The 15,348-nt window shown below is 36.9% G+C and overlaps 1 protein-coding gene across 11 annotated transcripts in view; it reads right to left on the minus strand.

Moving 5' to 3' along the window:
• XRN1 (5'-3' exoribonuclease 1) overlaps nucleotides 1-15,348 on the minus strand; it is a 141,428-nt gene that overhangs the window by 35,825 nt on the left and 90,255 nt on the right. For all 11 annotated transcript variants that reach the window (XM_047448357.1, XM_047448356.1, XM_017006640.2 and 8 more), the window contains 3 exons: nucleotides 14,478-14,685; nucleotides 12,967-13,062; nucleotides 4,800-4,908 (listed from right to left, as the gene is read on the minus strand). In XM_047448357.1, the coding sequence (XP_047304313.1) occupies nucleotides 4,800-4,908; nucleotides 12,967-13,062; nucleotides 14,478-14,685 (413 nt within the window). The remainder of the gene's footprint in view (nucleotides 1-4,799; nucleotides 4,909-12,966; nucleotides 13,063-14,477; nucleotides 14,686-15,348) is intronic.

The following is a 15,348-nucleotide window of genomic DNA, read 5'->3' on the forward strand; positions in this document are numbered from 1 at the left end:
AAAACAATCATAAAATTTACATGGAACCACAAAAACCCCAGAATAGCCAAAGGTATCCTGAGCAAAAGGAACAAAACTGGAAGAATCACATTACCTGACTTCAAATCATACTACAGAACTATGGTAATGAAAATGGCATGGCACTGACATAAAAACAAACACACAGACCGGTGGAACAGAACAGTGAACCCAGAAATAAATCCACACATCTCATTTTTGACAAAGGCACCAAGAACATACATTGGGGAGAGAGTAGTCTCCTCAATAAATGGTGCTGGGAAAACTGGATATCCATGTGCAGAAAAATGAAACTAGACCTCCATCTCTTGCCATATACAAAAATCAAAATGGATTAAAGACTTAAGTCTAAGCCTAAAGTATGACAGTACTCAAAGAAAACATTGGGGAAACTCCGACACTGGACTGGGCAAAGATTTCTTGAGTAGTCCCCCACAAGCACAGGCAACCAAAGCAAAAATAAACAAATGGGATCACATCAAGTTAAAAAACTTCTACACAGCAAAGGAAACAATCAACAACATGAAGAGACAATACACAGAATGGGAAAAAATATTTGCAAACTATCCATCTGACAAGATGGATAATAACCAGAATATATAAGGAGCTCAAACAACTTTCTAGGAAAAAAATCTCATAATCTCATTAAAAAATGAGCAAAAGCTTCGAATAGACTTTTCTCAAAACAAGAGGCATAAATGGCAAACAGGTATATGAAAAGGTGCTCAGCCAGGCGCTCACACCTGTAATCCCAGCACTTTGGGAGGCCGAGGCATGTGGATCACGAGGTCAGGAGTTTGAGACCAGCCTGGCCAAGATGGTGAAACCCTGTCTCTACTAAAAATACAAAAACTAGCCAGGCGTGGTGGCACACGCCTGTAATCCCAGCTACTCAGGAGGCTGAGGCAGGAGAATCGCTTGAACCAGTGAGGCGAAGATTTCAGTGAGCTGAGATCGCACCATTGCACTCCAGCCTGGGCAACAAGAGCGAAATTCCGTCTTAAAAAAAAAAAAGAAAAAAAGAAAAGGTGCTCAACATCATTGATCATCAAAGAAATGCAAATCAAAACTATAATGAGATATCATGTCACCGCAGATAAAATGGCTTTTATCCAAAAGATAGGGAGTAACAAACGCTGGTGAGGATGTGGAGAAAAAGGTACCCCTGTATACTGTTGGTGGAGATGTAAATTAGTACAAACACTATGGAGAACAATTTGGAGGTTTTGTAAAAAACTAAAAATAGAGCTACCAAATAATTCAGCAATCTCACTGCTAGGTATATACCCCAAAGAAAGGAAATCAATATATTGCAGAGATTATCTCCACTTTCATGTTTGTTGCAGCACTGTTCACAACAGCTAAGATTTGGAAACAACCTAAGTGTCCATCAACAGGTGAACAGATAAAGAAAATGTGGTACATATACACAATGGAGTACTATTCGGCCATAAAAAAAGAATGAGATCCTGTCATTTGCAACAACATGGATCAAACTGGAGATCATATGTTAGGTGAAATAAGCCAGGCACAGAAAGACAAATTTCACATGTTTTCATTTATTTGTGGGAGCTAAAAATTAAAAACGACTGAACTCATGAAAATAGAGTAGAAGGATGGTTACTAGAGGCTGGGAAGAGTAGTGGGGGGGAGGGGTGGGAAGTGGGGATGGTTAGCAGGTACAAAAAAATAGATGAATTAGACCTAGTATTTGCTAGCATAATGGGGTGACTATAATAAAAATAATTGTATATTTTTAAATAAATAAGAGAACATAATTATGTTGTTTCTAACATAAAAGATAAATGCTTGAGGTGATGAATACCCTATTTACCCTGATGTGATCATTATGCATTGCATGCCTGTAACAAAATATCTCATGTAACCCATAAATATATATACCTACTATGTATCCACAAAAATTAAAAATAAAAGATAAAAAACAAATAAAAGGCAAGGATGCATGTTCTCACCACTTCTATTCAGCACTGTACTAGCTGTTGTAAACACAGCAATTAGGCAACAAAAGAAATAAAAGGCATTGAGATTATATAGGAAAAAGTAAAACTATCTCTATTTGCAGAAGCCACAAAAAATTAGGGCTAATAAACAGTTAAGGCAATATACAAAAATCAGTTTTATATCTATAACAGAAATGAACAATCAAAAAATAAAATTAAAAACCCAGTTCCATTGAAAAAAGCATGAAAAAGAGTAAAATATTTAGGAATAAATTTAACAAAAAAGTGTAAGACTTGCATAACTGAAAACTACAAGACATCATGGAAAGAAATTAAAGACCGAAATAAATGGAAAGACATCTTGTGTTCATGGACAGGAAAACTTAATACTGTTAAGATGACAATACTACCCAAAGTAACCTACAGATTCAATGCAATCCCTATAAAAATTCCAGCTGCCATTTTTGCAGAAATAGGCAAGATGATCATAAAATTCATATGGAAATGCAAGAGGCCCAGAATAGAGAAAACAATCCTGAAAAAGAAAAACAAAGAGGGCTCAAACTTCCTGATTTCAAAACTTACAACAAAGCTACAGTAATCAAGACTGTGTATTTCACATAAGGACGGGCATATACATTAGTGGAATGGAATTGAGAGTCCAGAAATGAACCCATACATCTACAGTCAATTACTTCTTAAAAATGAGATGGTGTCTTAATATGTTTCCCGGGCTGGACTCAAACTCCTGGGTTCAAGCAATCCTCCTGCCTCAGACTCCTGGGCAGCTGGTACTACAGATGCATGCCTGGCTCTATAGCCAAATAATTTTTGACAAGGGTGCCAAGACTATTCAATGGGGTGTCAAGAAAATTCAATGGGGAAAGAGTAGTCTTTTTAACAAACAATGTTTGGATAAATGGATATCCACATGCAGAAGAATGAATATGAACTCCTACATCATACCATGTATAAACTTTTACTCAAAATGGAAAGAGACCTAAATCTAAAAGCTAAAACTATACAATTCTTAGAAGAAAACACACTGTAACTCTTTGTGACTTTGGATTAGGGAATGGTTTCTTAGATGTACACCTAAGGTACAAGCAACCAAAGACAAAGCAGAAAAAATACACAAATTGGACTTCATCAAAATTTAAAACTTTCGTGTTTCAATAGAGTATAAAGAAAGTTAAAAGAAAACCCACAGAATGGGAGAAAATATTTGCAAATCACATATCCAAGAAGCATGTAATATCTAGCATGTATAAAGAACTCTTACAAACCAAGAAAAAAGATTAAAAAATCCAATTAAAAAATGAACCAAGGATTTGAACTGACATTTCTCCAAAGATGATATACATGAAAAGATGCTCAACATTATTAGTCATTAATAAATTACAAATGAAAACCACAAGAACATTCCACCTCACACCTAGTAGGACGACTATTGTCAAAGAGAGGGACAATAACAAATGTTGTGAAGGATGTGGAGAAATTGGACCTTCACACATCCCTGGTGCAAAGGTAAAATGGTAATATCCAAACAGTTCGGCAGTTATACAAAAAGCTGAACTTAAGAGTTACCACTATATGACTCAGTAATTTCACTCATATGCATATACCCAAGAGAACTGAAAACATATGTTCACACAAAAACTTTTCCACAGATATTCATAGCAGCATTATTCACTATAGCCCCAATGTGGAAACAACCTCCATGTCTACAAATGGATGAACCGATAAAATGTAGCATTCATACAATGGAATATTATTCAGCCATAAGAAAGGATGAAGTACTGATACAGTTGTCCCTCCATATCTGTGGAAGATTGCTTCCAAGACCCTCCTGTGGCTATCAAAATCCACATATGTTCAAGTCCCTTACAGAAAATAGTGTAGTATTTGCATATAATCTACAAACATACTCTTTATATATTAAATAATCCCTAGATTACTTATAATGCTTGATACAATGTAAATGCTGTGTAAATAGTTGTCATACTGTATTGTTTAGGGGAATAATAAGATTAAAAAGTGTGCACATGTTGAGAGCAGACACAATCATCCTCTTTTTTTTTTTTTTGAGAAGGGGTCTCACTCTGTCACCCAGGCTGGAGTGTAGTGGCTGATCTTAGCTCACTGCAACCTCCGCCCCCCAGGCTCAAGCAATCCTTCTACCTCAGCCTCCTGAATAGCAGGGACTACAGGTGCATGCCACCACACCTGGCTAATTTTTGTATTTTTGGTAGAGATAGGGTTTTGCCATGTTGCCCAGGCTGGTCTTGAACTCCTGGGCTCAAGTGATCTGCCTGCCTTGGCCTCCCAAAGTGCTGGGATTACAGGCATGAGCCACCGTGCCCTGCCTTTTCTGAATATTTTTGATCCTCAGTTGGTTGAATCCATGGATGTGGAACCCACAGGTACAGAGGGCCGACTGAACATGCTACAACATAGATAAATCTTGAAAATACACAAGTGAAAGAAGCCAGTCATAAAAGTTCATATATTTTCTGATTCCATTTATATGAAGTGTCTAGAATAGGCATATCCATAGAGGCAGAAAGTAAACTATGGGTTGCCAAGGCCTGGAGGAGTGACTGCTAATAGGTATGGTGTTTCTTTTTCAGGTGACAAAAAATGTTCTAAATTTAGATGGTGGTGTTGGTTATACAATTTTGTGAAAATACAAAAAACCACTTATCGTATACTTTAAAATAATGAATTTACTTTATGGTATGTAAATTATATCAATAAAATGTTTATTTTTTTAAAAAAGAAGCAGCACACACAAGTACACCTTTCTAATTTAAAACTTACATTTTCTGTGAGGGTCATGTTTTCTTTGCTGATATTTAACACTGTTGTCATTAAAGCCAGATTTATGATGTTGATTTACTTGGCTTATTTCTTGAGGTAGAACTGCACCCTGAAAATTAAAATTCTTATAAATTAAACAAAATCTTAATATTATAACTACTTCTTATCTTCAACTTTTAATAAATACATTTTTATAAAAATTATATAGTTCCTTAGAAAAAAACTTAATACAGAAAAGTATAGAGACTTTTAAAGCCACTTGAACTCTATCACCAGACTCATTAACATAATGATCATCACTCTAGATATTTTTTCTATGCATTAGTTTGCAAGATATAAAGAAAACAATCATTTTATAAAAATGCTACTTTTTTTTTTTTTGAGACAGATTCTTGCTCTGTTACCAAGGCTGGAAGTGCAGTGGCACAATCTCGGCTCACTGCAACCTCTGCCTCCCGGGTTCATGTGACTCTCATGACTCAGCCTTCTGAGTAGCTGGGACTACACGTGAGTACCATCGTGCCTGGCTAGTTTTTGTATTTTCAGTAGAGACGGGGTTTCACCATGTTGGTCACGGTGGTCTCAAACTCCTGGCCTTAAGCAATTCTCCCACCTCGGCCTCCCAAAGTCCTTGGATTACAGGCATGAGCCACTGCACCCAGCCAAAAATCCTCCTTTCAATAAAAGAATTAAATCTAATTTTGCTTGATGTTAACAAATGCAGAAACCAAACAAAATACTAAACTTTAGGTAAATGTTTCTTCACCTTTAGAGAAATATCAGTCTCTAAAGATCCCCCTAGATTTGCTTCAAAATAATCCCATCCCTTGGGTAGGTGGAGGTGGGAAATGAGTAGGGGTTATAGAAGAAATAGTACTGGACTAGAGCATGGCAGGGAATGAATACTGGTGGGTTCATTCATTCTATTTACTTGATGTCATTATGGTTAAACTTTTCCATTAAAAAGTTTTAAAAAATTTATCATTTCTGGCTCTACATTATGAAAATTGAGGATGTTAGCACACTTACATTCCCTTCCATGTTAATTTTTATTAATCCCATGTTTTATTGGGATTAATAACAATCCCAATACCTGATTTTTATTAATATTTATATTGTCAAGGTTTTTAAATGTTGGAAGCCTTCAATATTAAATAGCCAGACTGATGATAAAGTTACAGTGATTGAGACAGTTCATAGACAGAATTAGCAAAATGGCATAAATTTCATATGAAGATTCTATCAGATCCTTTCATTTTTGGATAGGGAGAGAAAGCCTGAATGCAAAAAGAGATAGACAATTTCCCACAGTTGAAGCAACAAGAAGCAGCAGAAGTGGAGGCTAGAGAAGGTCAATACAAATGAATTATTTCACCGTTTTGCTTTTGGTAGGCTCTATTTACTTTCTTATCAGCACAGACAAATGGACACTGGGTACAAAGACACAACATGTCCTAACTGGTAGTGGGCATGCTCCAAAATAGTTGTGATATGCATGGGAGTACCAAGGAAGACCTAATGAGATCACATGGACAGAAACACTCAAGACTCTTCAGTTTTTTAAAAATCTATTTTTTATTTTTTTTGTAGAGACAGGGATCTTATTATGTTGCCCAGGCTGGTGTCGAACTCCTGGGCTTAAGTGTTCCTCCTGCCTTGGCCTCCCAAAGTGCTGGGATTACAGGCATGAGCCACTGTGCCCAGCCCAAGGCTCTTCAGTTTTGTTTTTTGTTTTTGAGACAGGGTGTTTGCTCTGTCACTGAGGCTGCAGTGCAGTGGGGTCATCCTGGCTCACTGCAACCTTCGACTCCTGGGTTCAAGTGATCCTCCTGCCTCAGTCTCCCGAATAGCTGGGGCTATGGGTATGTGCCACTATGCCTGGCTAATTTTCGTATTGTTTTGTAGAGATGGGATTTTGCCATGTTGCCCAGGTTGGTCTCGAACTCCTGGGCTCCAGTGACCTACCTGCGTTGGCCTTCAAAAGTGCTGGGATTACAGGTGTGAGCCACTGCGCCCGGCCAGCTTTTCAGTTATTAAGAGTCAAAATGGCATGAGATTTCTATCATCATGGCACAATGGCTGGTGGGGCTTTGGACTACAGCAGTACATTATGGGTGATTTTGACTCTAAGGAGAAGAATTAGAACATCAGGATAGAACAAGTATTGTCTGAGTGTCTTCTATGTGCCAGGTATGGTAAATGAACTGTGTACCCATTATTTTAATATCATTATAGTAATGCTACTAACTAAATAGTAAAATAAATAGTAAATAATATAATATTATTATTTACATTATTTTGGAGCTCTAACTCCAAAATCCATGTTCACAGTACTACTTCAGAGAAAAGGTAAGCCATATGTTTAATTAGTAAGCAAATATTTGGGTATAGTTCTTTAGGGTGTTCTGTTTGATATCTATATAAAGGTATTTGTACACATTGCCATGTTTTGCCAATGAAAGCTTGAATATTTCTTATCACAGTGAATTCTCTTGAATTTGCTCATCAGGTTAGGCTGCTTATTAATGCATATGCGTTATACTTGGGATCTCATAATTCTTAGGACATTTAAGAGATAAAACATGAGAGTGTTCAGCTGAAATAAACAATGAAATAGCACCAAGTAAGAGGGGTTGCATGTAGGAGATAATGAGAAAATATAATATCAAGTGATTCTCAAGGAAATAGGAGATTTTGACTGAGACCTAGGGGGTTATTTGTAGTGAGAGAAAAAATGGGCATTCTAAGTGGAAGGAACAAAAAGAACACATAACCCCAAATGGGAATCATCTGTGGGAAAGATAAAGTAAAGAGACCAGTCTAACTAGAACAGACTATTATGTCCAAATGGTTGGACATACATCATATAATTAGGTGGGGTTAGATTATAGAAGGCCTTAGACATTAGTTTGAGGAGTTGAGGCAGGATTCCAACCCTGGAGCTGTATATATTCCAGAGTACTACAGCAATACTATTTTGTGGCTGGAAAAGACCTTAGAGGTCATCTAAGTGAACTTCATTGTATACATGAGGACACAGAAGCCTAGGGAAATAAGCCTCTCTCTGAGGAGAGAGAGTATTCCAGACAAACTCAAAGGCCCTGTTGTGGGGACCATCCCTGGCATACTCAAGGAAGAGAAAGAAGACCATTATGGCTGTAGCAAAAATGTGAGTTATAGAAAATGTGATTAGAGAGGTGACACATCAATATTGTATGGGACATTCCAGGCCATTATATAAAAATAATGGCTTTTACTCAGTGAAACGGGGAATCAGTGGAGGGTTTTGAGCAGCAGAAGGACATGATCTCTGACATATTTTAATAGCATCACTCTGCCTGCTGTCTTGAGAATAGACTGTAGAGGAGCCAGGATGGAAGCAGATTACTAGACTACTGTAACCATCAAGGTGAGAGTTGGTATGAATTTGGAGTAGGGTAGTAGGAGCCTGTGAGAAATGGTCCAATTCTAGACATATTTGAAAGAGATTTACATATGATAATGAATTGGATATGAGGGTAAAAGAGAAAGGAAGGAGTAAAGGATGTGACTCTTAAGGTCTGAGTGAAAGGAGGGAGTGGCTATTAACTGAGATGGAAATGACATTAGGTAACGTAAGTTTGTGAGGGAAGAACAAGAGTTCAATTTTGGACATGGTAATTTGAGATGTATATTAAGTACCCAAGTGGAGACATAGAGTTGGACATTTGAGTGGAGATGAAGGGTTGAACACTGAGTCTAAATATCATGGAGGACTTCCAAGCTGGAAAGAGAAGTTTGGGAGACATGATGTATGTACTTTTGTAGGTATATATGTTTGTGTGTGTATCTATATCTATCTTATCTAAATCTATTTTTTTCTCTATCATCTATCTATCTGTCTATAATTATCTATCTATGTATCTATCTATGTATCTATGTATCTATCTATCTATCTATCTATGGAAATGGGTATAGATACAGAAGAAGTCCAATAATTTAGCCCTAGAGGATTCCATCTTTAAAGAGCCCGAGAGTTTAGGTGAAACTGACAAAGAAGACTGAGAAACAACAGCCAATGAGACAGGAAGAAAAACAGGGAAGGGTGGTATTCCAATGACAAGTGAAGAATGGATGACAAGGAGAACTGAGTGATCAACTGTATGAAATGCTGCTGATGGGTCAATTCAGATGGAAACTGAGACTTGATCACACGGTTTTTGCACACAAAGGTCATTGGGAACCTTGAAAGGGCAGTTTCCATAAAGTGATGGGAATGAAAGACCGATTAGGGTGGGTTTAAGAGAGAAGGGGGGAGAGAGGTGCCAGTATAGACAATTTTTTCAAGTTTTGTTCTAAAAGGAAGCAATTCTTGCCTTTATCTATTTGTTCAACTTTTTAATTAACTCCCTCCCGCTCTCTTAATCTTTTACTGAGGAACGTTCCTCCAAATCCAACAACAGTTTTCTTTTCATTTTTTGCCTTACTGCTTGACTAATGACTTTGACTGTAACCTCTCTGCTAAGTATTACTAATCTATATCTCTGATTTGAACCTCAGTCAAGATTTAATCCAGTATCTGCAACTTTCTAGGACAGATATCACAGCTGGATACTCCACCATCACCTCAACCTCAAGGTGTCCCATCTTAGACAAGGCAGCATGAGAGAAGAAGAACATTTTTTTTTAAGTTAAAAAAAAAAAAAAGGTCCCAGAATCGGCCTCACCTAAAGTTACTCCTCTTACCCTTATTTCTAACACCACCATTCCTCAGGCATATAATCTAAAATGCTTAGAGTCAAAAATTTTTGCTTTCTAACATTATTTTTACAATGATATTATAAATCATTCTATCATTCTACTCCTCCTCAGTTCCTGCAACTGGACTTTAGATCGTCATCCTTGGCCTAAATTAACCTTCTAACTACGATTCTTGTTTCCTATCTTTTTCACATATAGTCCTTCTTACATACTGCTGCCTGATTAATCTTTCTTAAAGACCCTGTCATCTGTTTTGGCCCCAAGGCATAATTGGGCAAAGTATCTCTTGGGTTTGAACCCAGTTTATACCCTGAAGCAGTGTGGTGCAGTAAGTACAGTACTGGACTCAGAATCAGGAAATCAGGTTTTGTGATTCAAATAGTTTAAAACAAAATAATTTATAGATAACCTAAAGAAAGCTTATAATAGCATATTGGCTGAGGAGAACTACGTATCTTGTCACCTTAATTTTTTTCTTTATTCTTTAAGTTATGACATATACACTAATTTTTTATGTTTATTTTATTATTTATATTTATTTTACCATTTATGTTTATATTCCCTTTGTAATTTTCTCTTTTATCTCTGATAATGCCACCATTACTGCAGGACATTAGAATAAATGAGGGTCTGAAGGTACAGGCTACTGGTTTATAAACTTGAACATTCCTTTTTTTATTTTTTGAGATGGAGTCTTGCTCTGTCATCCAGGCTGGAGAGCAGTGGCACAATCTTGACTCACTGCAACTTCCACCTCCTGGGTTCAAGTGATTCTCCTGCCTCAGCCTTCTGAGTAGCTGGGACTACACATGTGTGCCACCACAGCACCTGATTGATTTTTTGTATTGTTTGTAGAGATGGGGTTTCACCATGTTGGCCAGGCTGGTCTTGAACTCCTGACCTCAAGTAATCCTTCGGCCTTGGCTTCCCAAAGTGCTGGGATTACAGGCATGAGCCACCACGCCTCGCCAAACATTCCTTTTTGATCTAAGCTGAGAAGATAGGTAACTAGCAAAACATGTAGTAGGAATTTATTCCTTTCCTCTTCCTTTCTTTGTCTGAGTCTCTAATCTTTTAGCAGCACTTTTTCTCTCTTCTTAATCTCTACCAAGGAATACATATTTGTTCATTCATATTTAAGATAACCAACTACCAGCATAAAGTGACACATTCAAGTGGAAAAAGTAAGTTGTTAAATGCGATAACGGCCTTTGTTGAATTTAAAATATAGTTACTATGACTTCGTAAATAACTAAAAAAACCCTAAAGCTGATTTAAAACAAAAATTATCTATACTCTCGACTCATTGGTCCAGAAACTAAGGTCTGAAAATAATTATGAAAATTCATGATTACATGGAACCAGAAAAAAGCCCAATAGCCAAGGCAATTTTAAACAAAAAGAACAATGTTGGAGACATCACATTACCTGACTTCACGTTATACTGTAAGTTTATATTACCATGTATCTGCCATGTAACAAAAGTAGCATGGTACTGGTACAAAAACAGACACAAAGACCAATGGAACAGAATAGAGAACCCAGAAATAAAATGGCATACTTACAACCACCTGATTTTTGACAAAGACAACAAAACAAGCAATGGGGTGAGGACTCCCTATACATGATGCTGGATAGCTGGCTAGCCATATGCAGAAGAATGAAACTGGACCCCTACCTTTCAGCATATACAAAAATTAACTCAAGATGGATTAAAGACTTAAAATATAAGACCTCAAACTGTAAGAATCCTAGAAGAAAATCCAGGAAATACCACTTGGAGTATCAGCCTTGAAAAGAATGTATGACTAAGTCCTCAAAAGCAATCGCAACAAAAACAAAAATTTACAAGTGGGACCTAATTAAACTAAAGAGTTTCTGCTCGCTAAAAAAATTATCAACAGAGTAAACACAACTACAGAATGGGAGAAAATATTCGCAAACTGTGCATCTGACAAAGGTCTAATATCAAGAATCTATAAGGAACTTAATTCAACAAGCAAAAAACAAATAATGCCATTTAAAAATGGGCACAAGATGCTTGCTTCAGCAGCACATATACTAAAATTGGAATGGTACAGAGAAGATTAGCAAAATCTTAAGAAAATTTATATTTTAATTAAAAAATTAATTTTTAAAAAATGGGGAAAAAACATGAATAGATGCTTTGTAAAATAAGACATATCAGTGGACAAGAAACATATGAAAAAAATGTTCAACATCACTAATTATCAGAGAAATGCAAATCAAAACCACAAGACGATACCATCTCACACCGGTCAGAATGGCTGTCAAAAAATAACGGATGCTGGTGAGGCTGTAGAAAAAAGGGAATGCTTATAAACTCCTGGTAGGAATGTAAATTAGTTCAGCCACTGTAGAAAGTAGTTTGGAGATTTCTCAAAGAACTTAAAACAGAACTACCATTCGACCCAGCAATCCCATTGTTGGGTATATACCCCAGGGAAAATAAACCGTTCTTCCAAAAAGACACATACCCACATATATGAGTTGCATTTGCTATTCACAATAGCAAAGACATGGACTCAATCTAAGTGCTTATCAATGGTAGATAAGACTGATTGATTAACTGATTGATTTAGAGACTGAATCTTACTCTGTCGCCCAGGCTGGAGTGAAATGGGGCGATCTTGGCTCACTGCAACCTCTGGCCTCCCAAGTTCAAGCAACTCTTGTGCCTCACCATCACGAGTAGCTGGCTAATTTTTGTATTTTCAGTACAGATGGGGTTTCACCATATTGGCCAGGCTGGTCTCGAACTCCTGACCTCCAGTGATCCACCCACCCCAGCCTCTCAAGGTGCTGGGATTACAGGTGTGAGCCACAGTGCCCGGCCAGATTTTTAAAAATGTGGTATATATACACCACAGAATACACACTATGGAATACTATGCAGTCATAAAAAAGAATGAAATAACATCCTTTGCAGCAACATGGGTGGAACTGAAGGCCATTATGCTAAGTGAATGAATATAAGAACAGAAAACCAAATACTATATGGTTCTCACTTATAAGTGGGAGCTAAGCATTGGGGACACATGGTCATAAAAATGGGAATAACAGACACTGGGGGTTACTACAGATGGGGGAAGATAGGGAGGAGGGGGGAAGGGCTGAAAAACCACCTATTGGGTACTATGCTCACTGCCTGGGTGACAGGATCATTTGTACCCTAAACCTCAGTGTCACACAGTATATTCATGTAACAAACCTGTACATGTATCTCCTGAACCTAAAACAAATAAAGTTGAAATTATTTAAAAAAAGAAAAAGAAAATTCATGATCAAAATTGTCATTTTCTATTTTATGAGATGTCACAGAAAAATAATCATTGTAGTCTTAAAAGAAAAATATAAAAATATATTTTCTTTAAATTAATTGTCCATCAAAACAAGGAATACTAACCTTCTCTTGTATAGTTGGCTGAAAGTATTGCATCTTTCCAGATCCCTGTAAGGACTGCCAAATGTTGCAGAATTCATCATCATCTTTAGTAGGTACCTAGCAAAGTACAAACAATTTCTTGAGAAAATGAAATAGGAAGAAATAAAAATACATATTAAAAATCAAATAATTCATCTATTAATGTTATTCAGTGGTAGACAGGATATTAAACCTTTTTTTTTTGACTTGGGGTCTTACTCATGTGGGGTCTTGCTCATGTCGCCCAAGCTGGGGAGCTGTGGTGGGGTCATAGGTGATTGTAACCTCGAATTCCTGGGCTCAATCCTCAGCCTCCTGTGGAGCTAGGACTACAAGCGTGTACCATCATGCCCAACTATTTTTTTTTTTTCTTCTAGGGATGGGTTGCCATGTTTTGCTGTGTTGCCCAGGCTGGTGTTGAACTACTGCCTCAAGCAGTCCTCCTGCCTTAGCCTCCCAGAGTGTTGGGGTTACAGATGTGAGCTACCACGTCCACCCCTAAACTAACTTTCATTATGTGAAATCTCTTAGTTCCTTTTTTTCTAAAGCTCAGCATAGTAATCACAAAAGTATTCTATGAGAGTGAAACTGGTGTTCTTTATATGCAATTAGTTTTGAATGGTTTTATTTGTTGAAAAATATTTAAAGCATAACAAACACTATAAAAGATTATACTGAATCAATATCCCACCAATAGGTTTTTTGTCTTCTAATGTATTAAAATACATTCTCTCACTCAAATTGACACCTAAAGATTTTATTTTTAAAATCTTCACCTTACACAAAATAATCTAATAAATTTAAATATCAACTATTAAGATTAAAACTCTGGAAAAATAGGCACCAAATTTTGACAGTGGTAACCTATGAGATTTTAGAGGACTTTTGCTTGTGTTTCCTTTGTTATCATCTACTTATCTGTGTTTTCCAATTGGTTTATAATAAGCAGGTACTATTTGGGTTAAAAAAACGTACTTAATAAGCATGAGATTTGGGGTCATGGAATTAAATAAAGTGTCTCACACAAGACAACTCAATTTTTGTCCCCAGAAAGAGGAAATAAAGGAAATCACCCATAAATTGTATGGTAGAAACTTGAAAATTGCTTTTGATAAACGTGATATAATCCTTGCCCTTTATCTTTCAAATTTATGTTATTTATAGCAGATAGCATAGGACATTTGGATTATACAAGAAAAAAATTAAATGTTAACTTGAAATGTAAACATTTACAGAGAAAGCATGGACATTCTTAAGTTCCTTATTTAAATACACTTTTTTCCTTTAATACAACTGTTATTTTATAGCAGAGGTAGAATGCTAGCAATAGCATTCTTTATTAGCCTAGTATCTTAAATTTGGAATTGACCTGAGCCAAAACTTTTTAAATAAAAGAGGGAAACTAAGTTAAATTAGGTTTACATTTACAAAGTCTGCTGTGATTTGTGATTTGTAAAAGGGGTAGAGGAGAAGTTAAAGACTGAGAGTCTTACTTGAGTAGGAACAAAAAGTGATTGAGGGGAATGGTTGAGGGCTCCCAAATGCCCAGAGGAAACTGATGAACTTGAGCTATGTTGATGTACAGCTGGTTGTGGTTTTACGATGGCTGTCAACTTCTGATTTCCAGTTTCAGAGCGACTCCCATGAGAAAGGTTCACCAAGGCACTTGTTGGCAGTCGATAACCTCTACCAGGTGAGCATCTAAAAGTAAAAGTTATATCAGGGTTGGAAGGAAAACAATACTAAATGTGTTAGGGAGAAAAGTCAAATAATTTTTGGTGGACAATCCATCATCAGCATTAGTAAATATTACTTTTTAATTCGGTAGAGGAACCTCAAATCACAGCAATAGCTCAATTTATAAGATGATGTATTTCTAAAAACTTTCCTAAGAGCATATTTAGTATTTACTAAGTAGAGAAAACCCAACTATGTTCTAGGGGTGTGTGTCGATTTGTCGTTAAGAAGCTTGCATCTTAATTGCTGAATACAACTGAAAATTTATGAATTAATTTTTTTTTTTTGAGAGATGAGATCTCACTGTTACTCAGGATGGAGTGCAATGGTGCTATATCCTAACTCACTGCAGTTTCGAACTCCTGGGCTCAAGCAGTCTTCCCATCTCAGCCTCCTGAGTAACTAAGACCACAGGTGCAAGGCACCACAACTGGCATGCTTTTTTATTTTTTCTTAGAGACAGGGTCTCACTATGTTGCCCAGGCTGGTTTTGAACTCCTGGGCTCAAATGACCCTCCATCCTTAGCCTCCCAAAGTGTTGGGATTACAGGCATGAGCCACCATGCCTGGCCTCGAACGTCTTAAAAACTGTGGAGCGGGCATGGTGGTTCATGCCTGTAATCCCAG

The sequence above is a fragment of the Homo sapiens genome, chromosome 3 (assembly GCF_000001405.40).
Source record: "Homo sapiens chromosome 3, GRCh38.p14 Primary Assembly".
In the NCBI taxonomy this organism is placed as follows: domain Eukaryota; kingdom Metazoa; phylum Chordata; class Mammalia; order Primates; family Hominidae; genus Homo; species Homo sapiens.